This window comes from Homo sapiens, chromosome 2 (genome assembly GCF_000001405.40).
Source record: "Homo sapiens chromosome 2, GRCh38.p14 Primary Assembly".
Lineage (NCBI taxonomy): Eukaryota > Metazoa > Chordata > Mammalia > Primates > Hominidae > Homo > Homo sapiens.
The window spans coordinates 84,562,566-84,588,371 of record NC_000002.12 but is presented as its reverse complement, the minus strand read 5'-3'; the positions used below and the strand labels follow the sequence as shown (position 1 = coordinate 84,588,371).

The following is a 25,806-nucleotide window of genomic DNA, read 5'->3' as shown; positions in this document are numbered from 1 at the left end:
TTAGGGTTGAAACCCCAGTGAATGGGAATGGAATAGTTCAGGAGCAAAGCAGAAGCACTTAACTAGGTTTGGGATAATCTGAGAAAATTGAAGGAATCTGAGAACCTTTATAGCCATAGCTCAGGGAGGCTAGTTAGTCCAAGTCTTAGTCAGCATGGCCATGCATTCAAACTTGCAACATGCTCTAGATTAGAAAAAGCCAAGGGATGTGTCCAGGAAGAAGGGGCTTATATTGACATTCTGGTGTCTTGTGACTTGGCATGATATGCAGGGAATCCTGAAGTTCTCATGTGTCTTGATTCTGGTAGTGGGAACTGTTGAGAGAACTGGTGGACCAGAAGATGTCTGAGGCCAGGATAAGAAAGCCACAGATTACTTGGGATTGTAGGCTATGGAAGAAATTATGGATTGCAGCATAGGGGCTAGCATGGTGCCTAAAGAACCAGGAAAGACCCTTAGTTAACAGCAACCTGGGACAACCAGGTGCAGCCCAGCCAAACTGCACTGGACGCTGCTATGGCCCAAAAGGTAGCATGAAGAACAGATGACCTGCCCCTCCCATCTATTCGCCATGAGGGAATTCAAGCTTCCCTTTATGGGGCAATAGGTAGGAGGGGATGGTGGCATAGGTGAAAAAACGCCCAATAGGAAGTTTAGATTTTCAGCTGAATTAAAATCTATCCAAAAGAGACCCAGGTAGAATGGAACAGACATTTCAAACTGAAATAAATTATCATTAATGGTCACATTTAGGTTTTCTCCCTAATTCTCTGCAACAGCAGGAATGAGGGTCTTGATAGCAAGATAGTATCATTTATGTAAATGATGAAGTTACAGTCCTTTGCCAAAGAGAACTAATTTCAAACCTTCTATAGAAGAAGCACTAGTTAGAATGGGCCATGCTTTCATTTTGTGTAAGTGCATCATGCTATTTAAAATGCATGATTTGCATGCAGATATTCATTGCAGCACTATCCACAATAGCAAAGACATGCAATCAATCTAAATGCCAATCAGTATCAGATTGGATAAAGAAAATCTGGTATGTGGACACACGGAACACTATGAAGCCATAAAAAATAACAAGATAATGTCCTTTGCAGGAATATAGGTGGAGCTGGAGGCCATTATTCATAGCAAACTAATGCAGGAACAGAAAACCAAGTATTGCATGTTCTTACTTATAAGTGAAAGCTAAATGTTGAGAACACATGGACACAAAGAGAGGAACAACAGACACTGGGGCCTACCTGAGGGTGGAGGATGGGAGGAGGGAGAGGATCAGAAAAAATATCTATTGGGTACTAGGCCTTGTATCTGGGTGACAAAATAACCTATGCAGCAAACCTCTGAGACATGAGTTTACCTATATAACAAACCTGCACATGTATCCCTGAACCCAAAATAAAAGTTTCTTAAAAAATAAAAAATGCATGATTATACATCAAGCATGTGCTGGCACTTTTGCTTTCTCTAATGATCTATGTATACATAGATATTCATACTTTTTAACCATATGCTGTGTATAGAATACAGTATATGGTAGAGCAATTAATAGCAGACTATTAACCATTGACAGTAGACTGCTTACGCTTGAATCCAGATTCCTCCATTTAGTAACTGCGTGACCCTTGGCAAGTTACTTAACCCTGTCCCCTAATTTCCTTTTCTGTAAAATGTGAATAATAAAACCCTAAAGTGTTTTGAGATTTAAATGAGTTAAAACATGAAGACATACATAAGAATATTTCTAGGACTATTACTCATGATTGCCCCACATGGTAGATAATCCCAATTTCCATCACCCATGAAATGAATCACTGTAAAATACAATAAAACACTACATAGCAATAAACATGAATAAACTACATCCACAAATAGCAATATGCATAAATCTTAGGAACATACCAAAATAAAATAAAGGGCACACTGTGTGGTTCTAATTAATAGAAGTTCAAAAATAGGAAATTTATAACATTCCCGCTCCAGATGGCCTGCCACTGCCAACACGCCTGCTGCAGCAGGGAGGCATGGCCAGGGCTGCACACTCCATGGAGCCAGTGGCACACTCCATGGAGCCAGTTAGGGACAAGTGGGAGCTTTGCCCCTTCCAAGTTGGGGTGGGAGTTCCTTGGGCGCAGCTGTAGCCACCCAAACTGTTGCTGCAGACTCAGGCAGTCCTGTGCTCTTGGGGGCATGGGAAGACCCCTTTGCCCTCTCAGGCTTGGAAGTGCCTGCTTCTGCAGCCTGGTCTCTCCCTGCTCTGATCTTGGAAGGGAGAGAAGCCAGGCAGTGGGAGCAGGCACTTCTTTGATCTTCTCTGATCTTGGAGCAAAGTCAAGGCCCAACCCTGGTGCCATGAACAGCAGCAGGAGGCAGATAGATTCCTGAATGGAAGGGGGTGGGTCCCCGGTGAGGCCCCACATTGGCCTGAAGGCTGGGGGCTGGGCTGCCAGTCCCACAGACCAGTGTAGGAACTTGTGATGCCTTTTCCAGCCTGCCCATTATCCCCCATGGGCCAATCAGTACACACTTCCTCCCCTCTGAGGTCCATAAAAGCCCTGGGCTCAGCCAGAGCTGAGCAGATAATGGGACAACCAGCTGCAGAGGGCAGCTACCCTCTCTGCTGAGAGGTTCAGAGACCTGCAGAGATGTCGGGGCTACCAGCTGCAGAGAGTAGCAACCCACTTCAGGGTCTCCTCTCTGCTAGGAGCTGGGCATACATCGGGAAAACCAGCTGCAGAGGGGAGCTACCCTCTCCAGGCCTCCTCTCTGCTGAGAGCTGCAGAGATGATGGGACAACCTGCCTGCAGAGAGGAGTCACCCATTCCAGGGCCTCCTCTCTGCTGAGAGCTGAACACTCAATGGGATGACCTGCCTAGAGAGCAGCTACCCACTGCGGATTTCCTCCGAGCTGTTCTAACACTGAATAAAGCTCCTCTTCATCTTGCTCACCCTCCACTTGTCTGCATACCTCATTCTTCCTAGATGCAGGGCAAGAACTTAGGCAAAGGTACTACTGGCCACAGAGGTTTCCAGCCAGAAAAATGACACCCCAAATATCCCATAACAAAAGGATGAGTAATTAGGAGGGGACACTAAGGGTATCATAATGCTTTATTGATATGAGTAGTGGATACATAGATGTGTTTACTTTCAGATAATTCATTGAGTTGTACAGTAATTAGTTATGTACACTTTTGTCTGTAAGAAAATACAAAAGTGCTTCAATACAAAAGTAACAACAGTGCCAAGTCCTTCGAACACTGCTTGAGAAATAGGCAGCACACAATGTGAGCTGTTTTTACATTTCCACGTTAATACATGTAAAGGTATACTGTAATCTTTAATGTCTGTATTATATTCTTTTGAGTCAATGTACCCTATATTTTTTCTATTGTAAAAGTGGTACAAGGTAACCAAATATTCTTCACTACCAATTATCAATGTACACTCTGTCTCTTTCTAAATGGGAATTTTCTAATATACCAGCAAAGTTTATTTTTATTTTTTATTTAGCTTTTATTTTAAGTTCAGGGATACATGTGCAGGTTTGTTATACAGGTAAACTTGTGTCATGGGGGTTTGTTGTATGAATTATTTCATCACCCAGGTATTAAGCAAACTTTAAAATTGTGACAATAGCTGTAAAATGTGCTAGCAAGTCATTAAAACACTCTTCAAAATAATAAATACAAGTTAGGACTAGAATTTAATTGGCTAAATTCAATTTTAATATTACATATATGCTTTGTGATAGTCTGAAATGTATTCACTACTTAAACAGAGATTTTGAAACATTAATTTTTAAGTAGCAGCTCAAAGACATTGTTGATTGGTTAGAATGATACTATAAAAAACTAAAGCTACATCAGTTAAATGTGTTCTCTAAATGGTTTGAAGAGTAGTCTTAATTATTCTCACCACAAAAAATGATGTATGTGACGTGATGGACACATTAATTAGCTTGATTAACAATTTCACAATGTATACGTATATCAAAACATCACATTATATATTGTAAATATATACAATTTTTATCTGTTGATTATACTTTAATAAACAAATGTAATAGTAAAACTTTGCATAGATTATTTTTACAAAATAATGATTTAGCTTACCTGTGCTTGCAGTTTTACTTCATTCACTTCGTTGTTTAATTCTTCAAGATCACTACCCAAATGCACACAAAATTGCTTAATGCTTGATTCTCTATCACCCACTGATTTATCAATGGCATTCCGAACAGCAACAATGGATGGCTTCATAGTTGCAAAAACAGCAAAGTCTTCAGGAGGTGTGGGCACCTGATATTGTTCCATAAGCTTGTACATTTGAGTCACTATATTCCCCTCATCTTCAAGGCTTTCAATCTAAATGGAAACATAGTTTGCTCATTAAATGTAGCAGAATCCTAGTTTAGTCTTGAAGTTTGTTCTAACAGGAGACAGACACTGTACAATATGAACATTGTATTAGTCTGTTCTGCTGCTGCTAATAAAGACATATCTAAGACTGGGTAATTTATAAAAGAAAGGTTTAATGGACTCACAGTTCCACATGGCTGGGGAGGACTCACAGTCACGGCTAAAGGCAAGGGAGAAGCAAAGGCATGTCTTACGTGACAGCAGGCAAGAGAACTTGTGCAGGGAAACTCCCATTTATAAGACCATCAGATATCATGAGACTTATTCACTAGCATGAGAACAGTATGGGGGAAACCACCCCCATGATTCAATTATCTCCACCTGGCCCCATCTTTGACATGTAGGAATTCAATTCAAGGTGAGATTTGGGTGGAGATACAGCCAAACCATATCAAACATCAAACTGAATAGTCAGCACAGAAGGAGTGTATTATAATGTTACGGTCAAATTGGCTAAAGCCTGCTGGATGATAGTCATTGCTATAATACAGGTAATCAGGTTAGGAGGTAAATTATTCAGAGCTGAGCTCTTATAAATGTTTCCTCTTTTTTTCTGTTTTGTTCTTTTGTTGTATTAAACAGTGCCAATATTTAAAGTTTTCTAAGAAAACATGTGCTGTGGGGTTGTTCAGCTGTAGTATCTGAGCTTCCAGGCATGTGTGATGGGCAGTGATCATCCCAGAGCAGCCCGAGGGATCGATAGGCTGTGGACTTGGCTGCATAGGTTAAGAACCCAGATCTATGGTGAGATTCCCACTATCCTTTAATAAATTATTTTACTACAGCCCAGTGACTACTAAACATCTTCACTTTGGTTTCTCACTTCCAGTGGACAGTATTGCTTGTCTTTCCTAATTTTCTGGCAAGGGATACCCCAGTTTTGGGAATGCTCCTTACCCGCAACTCTGCCACATGGTTATAGAGGGAGCAGCCATGTTCGTACTACTTGGCCCAATTTCCTGGCCACAGGCTGAACCAAGGAGCATCAAACTGTGATCTAAAGAACTTGGCTCAGTCTGACCTTTCTCTTGAACACAGGAAGAGTTAGGACTGAGGCCATTTACTTTTATGTGGAAACATAACAGGTCATTAACACGAGAAGATAACTGCAGACAGGCTTTTAGAGAAATAGTTCTCAATCTTTAGCTTCCATTGCAATGACCTTGGAAAGCTTGTTAAAACAGATTGCTGGCCGGGTGCAGTGGCTTACTGCACCTGTAATCCCAGCACTTTGGGAGGCTGAGGCAGGCGGATCATGAGGTCAGGAGATCAAGACCATCCTGGCTAACACGGTGAAACCCCGTCTCTACTAAAAATAGAAAAAAATTAGCTGGGCGCAGTGGCGGATGCCTGTAGTCCCAGCTACTCAGGAGGCTGAGGCAGGAGAATGGCGTGAACCCGGGAGGCGGAGCTTGCAGTGAGCTGAGATGGCGCCACTGCACTCCAGGCCGGGCGACAGAGCGAGACTCCGTCTCAAAGGAAAAAAACAAAAACAAAAACAGATTGCTGAGCCCCTCCCGAGAGTGTCTGATTCAGAAGGTCTAGCAAGTCATAAAAACACTGTAGTCATGTAGGGTGGGTCCGAAGAATATACATTTTTAACCCATTTTCAGATGCTGCTGCTGCTGCTGATCTGGAGTCCCCCTTTGAGAACCACGGTTCTAGAATAGCAGAGATGAGAGAAGGAGAGAGGCCTTTTTGTAAAGACCTGGCTCTATCCATACTTTAGGATTCTGAAAGATATTCCTGCAAACTTAGAATAAATCTTCCCATTTTTCTAAGCTATTTATGTGAGTTTTTGTGACTTTCAACCAAAGTTTCTAACACCTCGAACAAGTTATGTATAGAATTAAGTCTCTCTACATCAAGATCTGTTCATCTTCCTCTATTTCCTCTATTTTGGGCGAGTATATATCCAGGTTTCTCTGGGAATGTCCTGGGTTTACACTTATTGTCCTAGTACAATGATTAATAGTGTCTCTTTCACTCTCAGAAAAATGTCCTGATCGGACAATGAATTATGTAGCCTACCCTCCCTATACCGGTATGAAACTGCTAAATACCCATTCCCTGCAGAATGATACCTATAGGTCACCTCATTCTCCTCTCACTGTCCCCTCATTCAGTTGCCCATTAAGTCCTTTCAATTCTACTTAACATCTTTATAATTAATTTATTCTCTCCTATCTTTGAAAATACTGCTTTAGCTACATAGAGTTCATCAACTTTCAACTAAACATTCTTTCTCCATAGCTAAATCTGTTTTTTAAATTGCTAAATCCTGTTTTTGTCACGTTGCCTCCTGTTTTTGCACATGGCTTTCCCTCTCCCTGGAATGCCCACCTGAATGTTTCATGTATTTTATGACAGCTTAAATATTCCATCCTCCACACAGTCTTCTGTAACCCATAGGCAGGAATTACTACAAACTTCCCAGTGTTACAACAGTATCTTATTCCTATGCTCTTTGTATGAAAATTATCTGCTTGCATTCAAGACTCAACTTCTTTAAAGCAGGTTTATTCATTGTAATTTTTGCACCACGCTAAGTGATGCTCACTAAACTTGCTGACTGAATGAATGACATTCCAAAAAAAAGTTTTTGTGTGTGCAGAGAATCTCCCTAAAGGAAGCTGCTTTCCAAACACACCACCCAGCAAACACAGACAACCTCCTGGAGATGGGACACAGTCTATGTTTTCTGCATACTGCATCAACTAGCTGTTCTGGAACCACAAGGTGATAGCAGCTGACCCTCTGCAGCCATTGATTATGATGTGACCCTACCTTCCTGACATAGTTTATAGAACAGAATAGGAGCTCTGAATCAATTTACTAGGCCTTTAGAATCAATACTGAAAAAGAGAGATTATCTCTTTCTTGCTGACTGGCTAGACTTGCAAGCTATAGCTTGGGAGCTGCTGGTGGCCATGTTTGCTGCTGTGGTAAGAAGAAGCAGAAGTAGCTGTCTGCAGAGGGAGAGAAGTGAAGCAGACCCTCAGAGAGATGCAGAGAGGAGAGATGGAAGGAAGGACTACTGGGGCGTCCTACAGCTGTCCCATTCTGGGTTCTGGTCAGTTCCTGAGCCTACTTACATTCTTGATAGGAAGTTCCATGAAGCACCCCTGAATCCTTAAGTAGGATCCCTATTTTGGCCTAAGCTTTCTCAAGTGGGTTTGGGTTATTTGTTTGAAGTGGCTTAATGAATACAAACAATAATAAGCAATTCGCATCTTTAGACTCCTAGGACAATTTATAAGCAAATCTGAAGAGAACCATGATCATCTGCCTTTTTGAGAAGGCACGATTTCTTGAAATGAGAAACACTGTTACCTTTGTAGTCATGTGAAATAGCATTTATTATTAATTTGGTTAATAATATATAACATTCAGTTTACTTTTTTAATTGAAGCATTTCTTCAATTTTCAGATATTTAAGAAAATAATTTATCTATATTTTAAATGCCAACATAATATGAATGGAAGTTTATGAAAAAACTATTGGAGCCAAATGCTAGATTGCTTCCTACAGGGAAGAGGCTGAGAGGAGGAAACCAAGTTTCCGGAGAAAAAGAAGCAAAAGAGACAAAGGAGTGTGTGTGTGTGTGTGTGTGTGTGTGTGTGTGTGCGTGTGTATGTGTGTGTATAAGAGAGAGAAACAGAGACCTGATTCCATCTGCATCATTTGAGTCCCCATATCCACTTTTTTCTCCCCACCTCCACCTCCCCACTTAAGCGGGTTTGTGTTGGGTTTCTTTCATTCTTAACAGTAAGTTTCCTGACTATTATGCAGCCAGACTTCCATTATGATTAACATCTAGATTACAATGGTATTACCATTTACTAAAAATTAGAATTCCAATAACCTATGGCTGAGAACATTGGTTTTGCAGTCAAAGAGACTCAAATCTAAATTCTAACTCTATCACATCCATACATGTTTGTGATCTCGGATCACACATCCTGTTTTGGTTTCTGTTTCCTTATCTGCAGAATGAGGATAAATATCAACACTTTTCAAGCTTTTGTGAGAATTAAAAATGTAATGCATGTAGAAAGTGTAATACGATGCCTGACTAGTACTAAGAGTCTGATAACTGTCAGCTGGCTTTATTCCTGTGATGTAGAACATCCACTTACTTTGAAAGTGTTTCTGATATTTGACAGCTGTCTTTTGCCCCTTAGTCCTTCACTTTTTCTTGTCCTATGTCTTCCTTCCTACTATAAGATCTGGAATATTGAGTTATATGAGATAATCAACTCACCCGTTCCTGAATTTCATCAAGAAATAATAAGCTATGAACATATTCTGTGGTAGTAGTTGGAACAAACTCAAGTTTATACTCTGCATCTTGTGCCTCAAAGATAATGGCATCCACTTTTTTCTTGCTTTGACGAGGAAGCATAAAATTTAGCACCTAAGAAAGAAACACCGTGTGAATTGTAAATAGTCGAATATTTTCATTTTATTATGTATTTCAGACAAATCCTAATTGGATTTGTTAAATCAGCAGGCATTGGAAGCAGCAGTGAATACGAAGAGACTTTTTTTCTCTTTAAATCACTGCTAGTTAAATGAGCCAACAGGAAGGCCAGGTTTTGAAGATCATTTCCACAGCTTACCAAAAATTTTCCCTAAATGCTCTAATATTTTGCAAGTATGCTTTCTGCTTCTTTGTCCTATGTAGTGGACATTGTGCTGCCCTGTCCAGCATCAGTCCCACTCCTTTCATGTTGGGCGCTAGCCATGCAGTTTGGGGGAATTTGATCTCTCCTTCAGAAACAAATATGCAGTCTGACTGATGACTTGGCAAATAGGAACATGGCTTTTTTGGCCAAACTGATCAGATTAAGATTTTCACGCTACTATAAAGAACTGCCCGAGACTGGGTAATTTATAAAGGAAACAAGTTTAATTGACTCACAGTTCAGCATGGCTGGGGAGGCTTCAGGAAACTTACAATCATGGCAGAAGGTGAAGGGGGAAGCAAGGCACCTTCTTCACAAGGCAGCAGGAAGAAGTATGTGAGAGTGCAGGAAAAACCACGATTTATAAAACCATCAGATCTTGTGAGAATTCACTTACTGTCAGGAGAACAGCATAGGGGAAACCACCCCCATAATCCAATCACTTTCTATCAGGTTCCTCCCTTTACACCTGGGGATTACAATTCAAGGTGGGATTTGGGTGGGCACACAAATCTAAACCATATCAAGTGTGAACCTCTGACTTTAGTTGATTCAATCAGATAAAGGCCCACACTTTTATTTATGGCTGAGAGAGACGTGTACTCAGAACCCCAGGCTTTCTCTGTCTCTCTCCATACAAACAAATAATTGGCTTGTGGAGCTTTTGACAATCACTTTACAAATGCCTTAGGATGAAGCCTGCACATAAGGAGGCTCAGGAAAGAGAAAGAAATAATTGGTTCCTTGGTAACACCACTGAGCCACTAGATCATACCTCCTTGATATCGACCCAATCTCTGGACTTTTTAGATACATATGCCAATAACTCTCCTGATTGCTTAAGCCAGCTTGAGTTCAGTTTTCTTGGGCTTACAGTAAATACATATCCAAGTATTTCTTGAGCATACAGTAGCTAAAAAGTGCTTGTTGAAATTGAATTAAATTTGCTCCAATTATATACATAATTATATATATATTTCTTTTTTTTACCAGATGAAGAAGCAAAACTCTAGAAGGAAGCCCAATGCCATACAATTAATTAATAACAGAAAATACTAGCACTCAGGTCTGCACTCTTTTTTATACAGTGCTCTATCTTCTATCATCTACCAGGGGCCAGAAAATGTTTTCTATAAGGGCCAGATAGTAAATATTTTAGATTTGCAGTCAATACAGTCTCTGTCACAACTACTAAACTTTGTCCTTGTAGGAAGAAAGCAGCCATAGATGATATGTAAACCATTGTCATGGCTGTGTTCTGATAAAACTGTATACAAAACAAGAGGCAGGCTGGGTTGGCTCTGTGGGCTATAGTTTTCCAATTCCTGTTTTATATCATTGTCTTTCTGTGGGCATTGGGAAGACACAAGTATACTCTGGCTCCAAAGGAAATTATTGTATTGGTTCTGAAACTTATTACAGAAATTTCCCTAGTTCTATAACTTACCAAAACATAATCAGACCTGTAGGGACAATTCCAGATCAGAAAATGATTTCCTAAACTTGATCTCGGTGGTCTAGAATCAACCATCACTCCCTCTAGGATATTGAGCTGTTATGGTAGTATCCTCTCTGCAGGTCTTGAAATGCTCCGACAATGGAAAAAGGAGTAGGAGCAAGAGGCCAGTGTGAGGCCTGCAGTCCCCTCCATTATCTCATCTAAAAAGCTGATTATGCTTGTGACAAAAAGACTATAGAGCTTTTCTTAGAAATTAAGGATGTCCAATAGTCTTATGTTAATTTTTATATTTGCAATACTATAAAATAAATACTAGGTTTTTGTGCAGTAGAAAAATCATAAAATAATTGTAGAGGAATAATTATTTTTTTTTCTAGTTTATAGTTACCTCTAAGCATCGCAAAGGTGATGGAATTAATTTTTCTCTTAGAAGCCTAGTATCAATGAGCAGCAATCCTACATTTCTGGTGGGTCTGAGCGCTACTGCGTCCTTGTGCTGTTTGTGATATTTTTCCAGTTGTTCACTAAAAAAGTTAATATCTACATAAAAAAATTCACATAAAGCATAAAATATACCATATTGGATTTTAAAAGATCATTACAAAATATATTAAAAATCATTGCATTGATAAATTTACACATATATGTATAATGTTATTATCTGTACTTAGAGTATCTCATGTAACTTTAAAATGCTAATTGGATTGCTTTATAGGATTTTATTCTTGTGATAAAGAAACTAATATTTTATAATGTAAATATGTCTTCTGGCTCCTATGAAGAGATGACAGATGAAAATAACTTGTAAGTGCATTAGAGAATCTAGTCTGGAATTGACTAGATTTCAGAGTTAGGTTGGTTTCAAGTTGGGATTAATCTAAATGTTCTCTCCCACATGGTGTCTCAAAGTAAAGCATTTTGAGAATATAAACAACAACAAAATTTGAAATATAAGAGATCACACATAGCTAAAATTATCTCTGTTTCTCTTCCCAACACATCTCTCTGCCATTCCTGCACCCTACATCATGGTCAAGGCCTTTGTCAATTTGCATATGCTGCAGTTGCATTTTGATAATCTTCTTGCCTCCATTTCCTCCCTCATCCAATCCATCTGGAACCAATGGAAACCTCATTATCCTTGAATATACTCTCATCATACTATCAGTCAAAAATAGCTCTCTCTCTAATGCATATACAGTTCTAAACTTCTCTGCTTGTCTTTCAAAATTCTGTACCCTCTGGGCCTCTAAAAATTTAGCTAATTTTATTTCTAATTACCTCCTACATTTGGGTCAAATTGATTTCCTTACTGTCTGCCCTTTTTCCTCCTTCCATAATCTTCCTCCACCACCCCAAAGAGAAAGGGGTGCTGTTTCCTGCCTTTATTCATGCCATCTCCTCTCCTAATTATAAGGGGTAGTTTGATATAGTATAAAGAACACACCAGAGAAAGTATTGGAAGACCTGAGCTCAGGTCTTTAACCCATGTGTGGCCTTGGGAAAGTTACTTAGTCTTTCCGAGCTTCAGCTTCCTCATAATATAAGACAGAAACAGCAATTACCTCCCTTACTCACTTCAGAAGGTTTTGATTTGTGTATTTTTGAAAGCCGACTAAATTAAGATGTTAAATGATCTGATAAGTCGTATGGTAAGGATACCCGTATAATGCTGCGCTGTTTAGTATTTTCCAAATTTATTTGAGCACCATCTTTTTTCATGGTATCATGTAATTATCCCTCAGAACAGTGCCAATGAACACAACTTTGGGAACCATTTATTTGGTCCAAAACTCTTATTTCATAGATAGAGAAATTGAGGTCATATGACTTGGCTATGGCCACATAGCCAAAAAGGAATAAAAGATTAAAGCCGATAGTTGAGAAATACGATTTCTTTCTCCTTTTTTTTTGAGACGGAGTCTTGCACTGTCGCCCAGGCTGGAGTGCAGCGGCGCGATCTCGGCTCACTGCAAGCTCCGCCTCCTGGGTTCACACCATTCTCCTGCCTCAGCCCCTGGAGTAGCTGGGACCACAGGCCCCCGCCACCACACCCGGCTAATTTTTTGTACTTTTAGTAGAGACGGGGTTTCACCATGTTAGCCAGGATGGTCTCAATCTCCTGACCTCGTGATCCCCCCGCCTCGGCCTCCCAAAGTTCTGGGATTACAGGCGTGAGCCACCGCGGAGAGGCAGTACGTAAAACGGTTAAGCAGACAAGCTTTCAAGTCAGAGAAATTAGATCTAAACTGCTCACTAGCTGTTTAATCCTGAGGTTGCCTTATCTCTATAGATCTCTGTTTTCCTTTTATAAAATGGTAATACTAATACTCTCCTCAGAATTGTGAGGATTGGATGAAATGTCTAAATATTACTTAGAACAGTATCTATCATGCTGTAAGTGCTCAGTAAAGTGTAGAAATTATTAGTAAATGCTGACATTTATAGGAACTTGGTGGTGAGATGTGGCTGCTTGTCAGGAAGCCAGAACCTATCTGCTGGTCGTTCTCTGAGGCAGGACAGGGAGCAGTCTGGCTAAAAGTTCAGTTAGACATTTATTAAGGATCTACAATATGTGCTAAGCAATGTTGTAGTCGTTTGAGGATATCAAATAACAGGTAAGGTTGATATCCAAGGGCAAAGCCCACCTCTATAACCCTCTGGCAAACAACTGGATTTAGTGGTTTAGGACGTACTGGGGGTTCCAAACAGAGGAGGAGCACAGAGGTTAGGAGTCCAGGCCAAGGTACTCCAAAGTCGCAGCCATCAGAGTGTTGGGACTGGGAGACCTGGTTCCAGGATTGGGTTTCAAAGGCAGGACTGGCAAGACAAGATAGGACTAGCTGAAGAGCAACCTGGGAGTCAGGGGACTGCATGCTGATGGGAACTTGCTGAGGGATCACAGTTATCCAACGTGAGGACTGTGGTAGCAGGAGGCTAGGAAGCCTTGGGCTCAGGATATGAGTAGAAGAGCTCAGGGATTAGAACTGGCTATTTTGATCAGGCCTCCTTCTTGTGCCAAAATTCCAGGCTCCATACCCTGCTGCCACTGTGATGCCATGACATAGCACAGGAGGCATCATGTCCTCACGTCCCTGTCGGTATGCTTCTGTTCAGCACACACTAAGTCTCCATGTGATAGTGTTGTCAAAGAACAGTGGAAGTAGGCTTGTCTAAATTTTGTTTTCTAAATTGGGGCCACATTTTGGTCTAACGACTTAGTATCTTGAAAAAAAGGAGTCAGTTTCAGATTTTTAAAATTTAAGGGACATAACAATCAGATACAATGACTGATCTTGGACTTGATCCCTGGCCAAATCATCTGGAAGCTGCTTTACTTGAGGAATTTTGAAAATGGAATAAGTTAAGATATTAAGGAATTGCTATTTCGGTGGAGGATGATACTATTTTCATTCTGTAGAAACATGTTTTAGAGATGCATATTGAATTATTTAACTTAAGAATACTTCAGCATAGTAAACAATAAGGAATTGAAAGAAAAACATAAAAACATAAAGAAAAAATTAGTGCTGGTTCATAGAGCAAAGTATCAATGTAATTGTAATTATATTTATATATAAGAAAATAAAGGAAGCTCATGAAATAAAAAAGAATATGAAAGACATGCATCATGATTTAAAATAGCAAACAAATATACTTATTTTTTATAATTTTCTGAGAACTTGCTTGCCTGAAATTGCACTTGGATATTGTAGATTATCTTCTATTGTTAAAGACAGTGAAATAAAACAGTTTTCTCCTAGGTCTTATTTCATGACTAAGAGTTGTTGATTCACACCCACCAGATCTTAATGTAGTCCCAGAAGAAAAAAGAATAAGTTCCTGAGATAGAAAAGCTTATGTAAACTTTATTTAATGGAATTGGTAGAGGTATCCATTCCTTTCAACAACTTCTCATATGCAGGCTATATACTCTTAGCACTGATACAACTTTAAACTAAATGATAAGCGATTAGGAAGGAATTGCTTTCCATAATATCCTGAAATAAAAGTAATACTGAATAAGGAGAAAGGAAAAAAGTGATTCTATAGAAAATAACCTAGAAATGAATTAACTCTTGCCTTATGTCAGGCCAACTCTTTTGGGCTACCATTTGTGTCCCCAGACACCACCAAACAGAATCCTAAAAAACAACAAATCTCAGTATCCCTATAAAAATAATTAGTAAGTACAAATGGACAAGTTACCAGGTTCCTGAAGTTTAAGAGCTTGTAAATCAAGACTTTCATTTTCCTTGAAGAATATCTGGAACTTTTCAAAGGTAGCTGCATAGATGCGGGCTGATTCAAATGCGGCCTGAATGGTTTCCTAAATGTTATAAATAAGCAGACAAATATGACCATATTTTTGTTAAGCAGAATTTAATTCAATACAACTAAACAAAGAAACAAGCAAGCACACAAACTCTATGCCCAATAGTATGTTTTGATTTGGGAAACATGAATGAAGAAAGATATATTCTTGATGTCGAGGAGTAATTGATGGATTCAAGAAGAAATTGTTATGAAATAAAAAAAATTCATCTTTAAACCTGACTTTTGAAGAATTATTCCTGTGACTGAAAGGAAACACAATTTGTTTCTGCTTCATGGTGAACTTATATATTGCTAGTAAACATATGGCAAAGAGGCAATACTTGTTTATTTTCCCAACTGCATATTTTATGTCACTGTGTTTTTAAGCAAAGGCAAACCTGTTTAGCATGCCCAGAAAATCACTTGCTTAATCTTACTATCAAATCTTTGGCATTGGCCAGTCTCTTACTCCAAAATATCCTTCATACTTTGCCATAATAAAAACTTTTTCTTCACCCCTCTTAAACTTGGTTCTAACCCATATTTCCCCACAAAGTTTTTTTAAACCAAGACAACGATTTCCAATCACTTCAGTCCCTTTAATAACTGTGTCAAGATATATTATTATATGTTCAAAGTCTATGAAAGGCAGTTAGGATTCACTTGCTGTTGGTCTTGGTCCATGTCTACTTGGCTGTGCTCCACACCTTTTCCTTGTGTTTTCTACTAAGACTTGTAAAAGTCTGCAATTTGTCCCAGGAAAACTAGAGGTGACCAATGGAATTGCACAAATCCAACACACCAATGCTAGGGAAAGTGACTCAGTTATGCCTTGTGGTAGTAGAAAATTTAATTACAAAGAATAGCACACACCCTGTATGTTTACATTTAGTTATTTGTTCATTTATTTTAATAGGCTTTTATGAATATTCCAGAATGTTTCTGCTGTTTCTTCTTTATAATAAACATTGAAAAAAAACTTTATCAAACTATGTTTCCTTTGAACGGACTAAATAGTATCTCTCATATGTCATCATGCAGGTGCTAGAAACAATATAAGGCTTGTAAATGGAAAGCCCCACCGATGTTCAAAATATGATTTCAAAACATTTTTATTTTGAAACAATGTATGATTCACAAGAGTGTTACTGGAATAGTACAAAGAACTGCATATCTCTGTCACCAAAATTCCCTAAACTTCAACAATTTATCATATTTACTTTATAAGTCTGTCTATATACACATATTATTATACTCTGAACCATTTGGGAGAAAGTTACAGACATGTGGCACATTGACCCCTAAATATTTCAGGGGTTACTTACTAAACACAAGGACATTTTCTTACATAACCACAGTATAATGGTCCAAATCAGGAAATTAACATGGATATTAATACTGCTATCTAATTACCGACCTCATACAAATTCTACCATTTGTTCCAGTAATGAATTTCATAGTAAAAGGAAAAAACATTTTTTGTTCTGGTCTACTTTTCTACCTAGGATCATGTATTGCATCTTTTCATCTTTTTGGTTTTCTTTTTTCTTTTTTTTCTTTTTGAGACAGAGTCTCTCTCTGTCACCCAGGCTGGAGTGCAGTGGTGCCATCTCGGCTTGCTGCAACCTCCACCTCTCGGGCTCAAGCAATTCTCCGTCTCAGTCTCCTGGGTAGCTGGGATTACAGGCGCCCGCCACCACGCTAATTTTTTTTTTTTTTTTTGTAATTTTAGTAGAGATGGGGTTTCACAGTCTTGGCCAGGCTGCTCTTGAACTCCTGACCTTGTGATCCGCCCACCTAGGCCTCCCAAAGTGTTGGAATTACAGGCGTGAGCCACTGCGCCTGGATGGTTTTCTTTAATGTGGGACAATATCTCAATCTTTCTTTGCCTTGCATGACCTTCACATTTTTTAAAGGTATCTCAGTTGTGTGTATATGTGCATGTGTGTGTTTTATATTTCCTCATGATTAGACTCAGATTTAAATTTTTGGCAGTAATGCTACATAAGTGATGTATGTTATTTGCAGCATCTCACAAGGCATTTGTTGTCTCATTACTGGTAATACTAACACATTGGCTAAGGCAGCGTTTGGCAGGCTTATCACTGTGAACTATTTTCCCCTTTGAAATCAATAAGTAGCTTATGGACAGAGAATTTGAGGCTATGTAAATAACCCATTTCTTATTATACTTTTGCATACGCATTTTAGTACACATCAGAGATTCTTGGTGATTGCTGATGGCTTCTGTAGTGAATTTTCTAATTGTGTTTTCTTTCTACATTTATTTGCTTGCATTCTACCAAAGAAAAACTTTCTCTTCTCACTCATTCAATTAGTTTGTTAATTCATTATTTCACAACATGGACTCATATATTCTCATTTTATTCAAAGGATTTGGTAGTGATCAAATTGTCCCAGCGTGTCCAGAATTGGTTCCTTCCGGTGGATTCTCGGTCTTGCTGACTTCAAGAATGAAGCCCCGGACTCTCACGGTGAGTGTTACAGCTCTTAAAGATGGTGTGTCCGGAGTTGTTTGTTCCTCCCAGCGGGTTCGTGGTCTTGCTGACTTCATTAGTGAAGCCGCAGACCTTCCCAGTAAGTGTTACAGCTCTTAAAGGTAGTGCGGACCCAAGAGTGAGCAGCAGCAACATTTATTGAGAAGAGCGAAAGAACAAACCTTCCACAGCGTGGAAGGGGACCCGAGTGGGTTGCAGCTACTGGCTCGGGTGGCCAGCTTTTATTCCCTTATTTGGCCCTGCCCATATCCTGCTGATTGGTCCATCTTACAGAGTGCTAATGGGCCCATTTTACAGAGTGCTGATTGGTGCATTTACAATCCTTTAGCTAGAGACAGAGCGCTGATTGGTGTGTTTTCACAGAGTACTGATTGGTGCATTTATAATCCTTTAGCTAGACACAGAGCACTGATTGGTGCATTTTCACAGAGTGCTGACTGGTGCCTTTATAATCCGTTAGCTAGACACAGAGTGCTGATTGGTGCGTTTTTACAGAGTGCTGATTGGTGCATTTACATTCCTTTAGCTAGACACAGAGTGCTGATTGGTGTGTTTTTACAGAGTGCTGATTGGGGCATTTACAATCCTCTAGCTAGACACAGAGCAATGATTGGTGCATTTTTACAGAGTGCTGATTGGGGCATTTACAATCCTCTAGCTAGACAAAAAAGTTCCCCAAGTCCCCACTCAACCCAGGAAGTCCAGCTGGCTTCACCTCTCACCAGGGAGACCCTTCGAGGTGGCTTTTTGTCTTTTTTACATGTCTCCATTGTTATTTGGGCATGTTCTTATTTTTTTAGGTGAATAATATTCTCTAGGCTCATATTGTACTATCCTACCCCACCCCTTGAAGAAGAGAGTACTGCAAAGAGAACAAAGAGAGTTCCTTTCAATTGGGAATGATACATAGAAACTAACATGTGGATACTAGATGTGCTCATTGGTATTGGGATGTCATTGCTTGTAGCCTATTTCAACAGACAGGTCTAGGAAACGCACATACACCCCACATACAATCACAAAACCCTACACATTTCTTTATCTTTCCACAGATCAATTAAAATCCATGAGTTCACAACTCTATTCCAATGCAACAACATAGGGTTCATTCCAGCCTTCCCTCTTCCATATTTGTAACTCCCTTTCTGAGGATGAGTAACCTCATCTCATCATTCACAATATATTTATTTATTTTGCTCAACTCTAAATAAAATACACAGAAAGTAGTTTCAACATTGCGAATACACTAATACCACTGCAAAAAACAAACCTACTAACTAGAGTTCAGTATTTGCTGCAGTTATGGTGGTTTTTCATCCACAGGATACATGGCCAAAATACTGTGCTCAAAAGTTACTTGGTTTAGTTATTTTCCCCCATCCATTTAGTGTGGTTATGTATTTCACTTGAAATACATGTGGGTTTATTTCTTTTTGTTTGTATTTTGTTTTAGGGTTTTGCTCTCCATTTTGTTGATTTTTTAAGAACTATATTAAAAGGTATACTCAGAAAATAGTCACTTCCCCATTTTTTTCACTTTTTACCCACCATCCTCACCCTTCCTACACCATTCACATTACCTCCTCTAGGTAACTAATTTCCTTAGTTTCTGGTTTATCTCCCTTTCCTTCCTACTTCTGACATAAACTTCTGAATATCTATAGTATACTATAGATATTCTTTTGTACTTTGCCTTTTTCATCTAACAATATATCCTGGAAATCACTCTATATTAATTAATAACCAACTTCTTCATCCATTTATTCAGCTGCATAGTATTCCTTTGTGTAGATATACCATAGATTATTCAATAATTTTTCTATACATGGCTATTTTGGTAGTTTACAATATTTTGCAGTCATAAACAATGCTGCAGTAAGTAATCTAGTGCATATGTACTTACGTATTGTTGAAAACGTATTTTTAGGATACATTTTAAAGGTTGTATTGTTGGATCAAAAGGTAAATGCATGTATAGTTTTGTTTTGCAAAATGTTCTTTTATTTTTTGCATTCCCACAAGCTTAATGTGAGAGCGTTTGTTTACCCATAGGGTAATCACCAGAAAGTGTTGGTATATTTTTTAATTTTGCTAATCTGATAGTTGAGAAATTATATCTCAGTTTTAATTCGCATTTATCTTATGAGTAGACTATCTTTTCATATGCTTAGATGCTATGTTTGGTGAATGTTTTATCATAAGTTTTGATCATTTTTCTTTTTTTAAAATTAAATTAAATTTTAAGTTCCAGGATGCATGTGCAGGATAGGATGTGCAGGTTTGTTACATAGGTAAATGTATGCCATGGTGGTTTGCTGCACCTATCAACCCATCACCTAGGTATTAAGCCCCACATGTATTTGCTATTTATCCTGTTGTTCTCCCTCCCCACAGACCCTGATGGGTCCCAGTGTGTGTTGTTCCCCTCCCTGTGTCCATGTGTTCTCATTGTTCAGCTTCTACTTATAAGTGAGAATACATGGTGTTTTCTGTTTCTGTGTTAGTTTGCTGAGGATAATGGCTTCCAGCTCCATCATGTCACTGCAAAGGACATGATCTCATTCTTTTTTATGGCTGCACAGTATTCCACGGTATATATATATCACATTTTCTTTATCCAGTCTATCACTATGGGCATTTGGATTGATTCCATGTCTTTGTGATTGTGAATAGTCCTGCAATGAATGTGTGTATGCATATATCTTTATAATAGAATGAATTTTCCTTTGGGTATATACCCGGTAATGAGATTTCTGGGTCAGATGGTATTTCTGGTTCTAGGTCTTTGAGGAATCACCACACTGTCTTCCACAATGGTTGAACTAATTTCACCAACAGTGTAAAAAGCGTTCCTATTCCTCCACAGCCTCACCATCATCTGTTGTTTCTTAACGTTTTAATAATTGCCATTCTGACTGTGTGAGATGGTATCTCACTGTGGTTTTGATTTGCATTTCTCTAATGATCAGTGATGTTGAGTTTATATATATGCCACATAATGTATTATATAATATACATATGCCACATAAATGTCTTCTTTTGAGAAATGTGTGTTCATGTCCTTTGCCCAGATTGCAAAAATTTTTCCTATTCTGTAGGTTGTCTATTCAGTCTGATGATAGTTTCTTTTGTTGTGCAGAAGCTCTTTAGTTTAATTAAATCCCATTTGTCAATTTTTGCTTTTGTTGCAATTGCTTTTGATGTTTTGTCATGAGATCTTTTTCCATGCCTATGTCCTGAATGGTATTGCCCAGATTTTCTTCTATGGTTTTTATAGTTTTGGGTTTTACATTTAAATCTTTAATCCATCTTGAGTTAATTTTTGTATAAGGTGTAAGGAAGGGGTCCAGTCTCAATTTTCTGCATATGGCTAGCCAGTTCTCCCAGCACCATTTATTAAATAGGGAATCCTTTCCCCATTGATTGTTTTTGTTAGGTTTGTTGAAGATCAGATGGTTGTGAGGTTTAATTTCTGAGATCTCTATTTTGTGCCATTGGTCTACATGTCTGTTTTTGTACCAGCACCATGCTGTTTTGGTTACGGTAGCCTTGTAGTATAGTTTGAAGTTGAGTAGTGTGATGCTTCCAGCTTTGTTCTTTTTGCTTAGGATTGTCTTGGCTATACAGGCTCTTTTTTGGTTCCATAGGAATTTTAAAGCAGTTTTTTTCTATTTCTGTGAAGAATGTGTTTTGACCATTTTTCTACCTAGTTTTGGTTTCCCCTCTCTCTAGTATTGGAAATATTAGCCCTCAGCTATAATATGTAATACAAATAGATTCTCTCTGTTTATAAGTGTATTTTTACTTTGTTTACAATTTTTCATTGCAAAAGATTTATTTGTTGTATAATCAAATTTATCAATTCATTCTATTCTTGCATCCAGATTTTTAAGTCATAGTTAGATAACCCTTTTTATGAACAAATCATAAAATAATTTGTCCATCTTTACTTACAGTTTTATTTTATTTTTAGATCCCTAATTTATATATTGGTGTGTAGAATGTGAACCATAGATCTAATTTTATCTTTATCCAAATAGCTATTCAGTTGTACCAGCTACGTTTATGAAAAATTCATATTTGTTTCAGTGATTTGAGATACTATATATTTTATACATTTCTACATGTATTTTGGCGTCTATTCTACTCTACTGGTCTGACAGCTATTCATGTGCCAGTACCACGTTCTTTTAATTATAGAGTGTTTACATTAAATATTTGGGCAGTATAGTACTCCTCATAGCTATTCTTTTTTCAACATTTTTGGTAGTTATTCTTAGACGTCTATTTATGCATATAAGCTTTATTATAAACTTGTCAGTATTTTCATAGGCATGTGTTAAAATTATAAATTAACCTAGAGAGAAAAAAAATCTTTATCATGTTGAGTCATCCCATTTAAGAAATTTTTATTGGCATGTATTAAAATTATAAATTAACTTAGAGAGAAAAATCATCTTTATTATGTTGAGTCATTCCATTTAAGAAATTTTTTCCAAGCCTATTTTTGTGTCTTCCAGAAGATTTTTTAAAAACATAAAAGTGTCCATCATATGGGTTTTTAGCATTTCTTATTAAATTTATTCCTAAATATATTACCTGCTTTGCTGCTATTATGAAAGAAGTATTTTCTATCAGGCATTTTCAATATTCTAGAATAACTGAGGTGGCATTGTGAATATCTAGTCTTTGGAGATTTGATAAATTTCCCCCATTTGGGCCTGGTGCTTTTTGTGGAGTATTTCTTTGGTAACTTTCTCTATATCTTCTGTGGATATTGGTAGGAGCTCTATTTCTAATGTGAACAATTCCAGTAAAAATATTTCCCTAAAAAATTCTCAATTTTAACTAACCCTGAATGTGGGGTTAGTTAAGCGGTCTAAATGCTCCATGTAAAAGACATAGAGAGGATAGCTGGATAAAAAGACAAGACTCAACCATTTGCTGTCTTCAAGAGAACCATCTCACATGTAACAACACCCATAGGCTCAAAATAAAGAGATGAAAAAGGACCTACCATGAAAATGGAAAACTAAAAAGAGCAGGAGTCACTATTCTAATATCAGATAAAATAGAGTATAAACCAACACCAATTAAGAAGGAAAAAGAAGGACATTACATAATGATAAAGGGTACAATTCAACAAGACTTGGCTATTCTAAATATATACACAGCCAACATTGGAGCACCCAGATTTATTAAAAGATTTATTAAAAAAATACTTCTAGACCTACGAAAAGACATAGACAGTCACACAACAATAGTGGGATACTTGAACACGCCCACTAACAGTGACTGATCATTGAGGCAGAAAACTAACAAAGAAATTGAGGACTTAAACCCAGCACTCCAACAATTGACTCTAGATTAACAAATAAAAAGAAAAAAGAATAAACACAACAAGAATTGACAAAGATGAAATTACAACAGATTCTAGAGAAATAAAAAAGATCCTCAGAGACTATTATGAACAATTCTATATACACGAATTAGAAAATCTAGAGGAAATGGATAAATTCCTGGAAATATACAACCTGCCAAGACTGAACCAGAATGACAGTGAAACCCCGAACAGACCAGTAACAAGTTCTGAAATTGAATAAATAATATAAAAAAACTACAAAAAAAAAAAGCCCTGGACCAGATGGATTCACAGTCAAATTCTACCAGATATACAAAGAGCTGGTACCAGTTCTACTAAAACTATTCCAAAATATCAAAGAGGAAGGTTTCCTTCATAACTCATTCTATTGAATACTAAGCTAGTATCACCCTGACACCAATATCTGGCAGAGACACAATGAAAAAAGAAAACTTCAGGCCAATATCCCTGATGAACATAGATGCAAAAAATCCTTAACAAAATCCTAGTGAACAGAATCTAGAAGCACATCAAAAAGTTAATACACCACAAACAAGTAGACTTTATTCCTGGGATTCAAAGCTGTTTTAACATATGCAAATCAATAAATGTGATTCACCACATGAACAGAATTAAAAGCAAAAATCATATGATCATCTCAATAGACACAGAAACAGCTTTTGATAAAATCCAACATCCCTTCATGATAAAATCCCTAAGCAGACTAGGGATCAAAGGAATAGACTTCAAAATAATAAGAGCCATCTATGACAAACACACAGCCAACATCATACTGCATGGGCAAAAGTTGAAACCATTCCCCTTGAGACCTAGAATGAGACAAGGATGCTCACCCTTACCACTCTTATTCAACATAGTACTGGAAGTTCTAGTCAGAGCAATCATGCAAGAGAAAGAAGTAAAAGGCATACAAATAGGAAGGGAAGAAATCAAATGATCTCTCTTTGCTGATGATATAATTCTATACCTAAAAACCCCTAAAGACTCTGCCAAAAGGCCCCTAGAACTGATAAATGACTTGAGTAAAGTTTTGGAATACAAAATAAATGTACAAAAATCAGTAGCATTTCTATACACCTTAAATGGTCAAGCTGAGATTCAAATCAATAACTCAATCCCATTTATGATAGCCACATACGCACAAAATGAAATGCCCAGGAATACAGCCAAACCAAGGAGATAAAAGATTTCTACATGGAGAACTACAAAACACTGCTGAAATAAATCAGAGATGGAAAAAGATTCCATGCTCGTGGACTGGAAGAATCATTATTGTTAAAATGGCCATAATGCCCAAAGCAATTTACAGATTCAATGCAATTCCTATCAAACTATTTATATCTTTTTTCACAGAATTAGAAAAAACTATTCTAAAATTCATATGGAACCAAAAAAGAGCCAACTAGCCAAAGCAATTCTAACCAAAAACAACAAAGGTAAAGGCAGCACATTACCTGGGCTTCAAACTATGCTACAAGGCTACAGTAACCAAAACAGCAAGGTATTGGTACAAAAACAGACACATAGACCAAGAGAACAGAACAGAAAACCCAGAAATAAAGCTGCACACCCACAACCATCTAATCTTTGACAAAGCTGACAAAAACAAGCAATGGGGAAAAGATTCCCTATTCAATAAATGGTGCTGGAATAACTCACTAGCCATATGCAGAAGAAAGAAACTGCACCTCTACCTTTCCTAATATACAAAAATTAACTCAAGATGGATTAAAGATTTAAATGTACAATCTCAAACTATAAAATTCCTAGAAAACAAGAAAACCTAGAAAATAACCTTTTCGACACAGGCTTGGCAAAGAATTGTTGGTTGTTTGCAAAAACAATTGGAACAAAAACAAAAATTGACAAGTGGCACCAAATTAAACTAAAGAGCACCTGCACAGCAAAAGAAATTTTCAATAAACACACAACCTACATAATGGGAGAAAATATTCACAAACCGCATTTGACAACGGTCTAATATCCAGAATCTATTAAAAACTTAAATCAACAAGCAAAAAACAACCTCATCAAAAAATGGCAAAATACAAGCAGCCAGCAAACATATGAAAAAATGCTAATTATAACTAATCATCAGAGAAATGCAAATCAAAACCACGATGAGATGCCATCTCACACAAGTCAGAATGGCTATTATAAAGCTAATAAATAACAGTTATTTCTCCATACCTAGGGAGGCTATGGAGAAAAGGGAATGCTTATACACAATTAGTGGGAATGTAAATTAGTTCATCCACTATAGAAAGCAGTTTGGAGATTTCTCAAAGAACTTAAAACAGAGCTACCATTTGACCCAGCAATCCCATTATTGGGTATGTACCTGTATTAGTCTGTTCTCACACTGCTAATAAACACATACCCAAGACTGAGTACTTTATAAACAAAAAGAGGTTTAATGGACTCACAGTTCCACATGGCTGGGGAGGCCTCACAATCATGGCAGAAGGCAGAGGAGGAGCAAAGCTGCGTCTTAAGTGGCAGCAGGCAAGAGATCATGTGCGGGGGAACTGCCCTTTATAAAACCATCAGATCTCCTGAGACTTATTCATTATCACGAGAACAGCACGGGAAAACCCGCCCCCATGATTCAATTACCTCCTACCAGGTCCCTCACACTACACTTAGGGATACGGGAGCTACAATTCAAGATAAGATTTGGGTGGAACACGGTGAAACCATATCAATACCCAAAGGAAAATACATCATTCTGCCAAAAAGAAGACAGTCCTCAAATAAAACCTTCCTCATTGAGACCCTAATGAGCTTCCCTGCTAGGTGATATTTCACTTGTGTTGTCAAAATCCACTGCTGGAGGAATTAAGTGCCTCCCGTGTGACTCCAATGGAGAGGACTCTTGGAAGCTGTGCCTGGTTTCCTCTGAACTTTATCCCATGTGCCTTTTCCCTTCGTTAATTTTGCTTTATATCCTTACACTGTAATAATCATAGCCATGAGTAAAATTATACACTGAGTCCTGCGAGGTCTCTTAGC

General features: G+C 38.0%; 1 protein-coding gene across 14 annotated transcripts in view; it reads right to left on the bottom strand.

Moving 5' to 3' along the window:
• Nucleotides 1–25,806, bottom strand: part of DNAH6 (dynein axonemal heavy chain 6) — a 360,018-nt gene that overhangs the window by 231,218 nt on the left and 102,994 nt on the right. For 13 of the 14 annotated variants that reach the window (XM_011532650.4, XM_011532649.3, XM_006711956.3 and 10 more), the window contains 4 exons: nucleotides 14,785–14,905; nucleotides 10,964–11,115; nucleotides 8,693–8,845; nucleotides 4,122–4,373 (listed from right to left, as the gene is read on the bottom strand). In XM_011532650.4, coding sequence (XP_011530952.1) covers nucleotides 4,122–4,373; nucleotides 8,693–8,845; nucleotides 10,964–11,115; nucleotides 14,785–14,905 — 678 coding nt within the window. The remainder of the gene's footprint in view (nucleotides 1–4,121; nucleotides 4,374–8,692; nucleotides 8,846–10,963; nucleotides 11,116–14,784; nucleotides 14,906–25,806) is intronic. The other variant, XM_047443590.1, reaches the window with a different exon arrangement.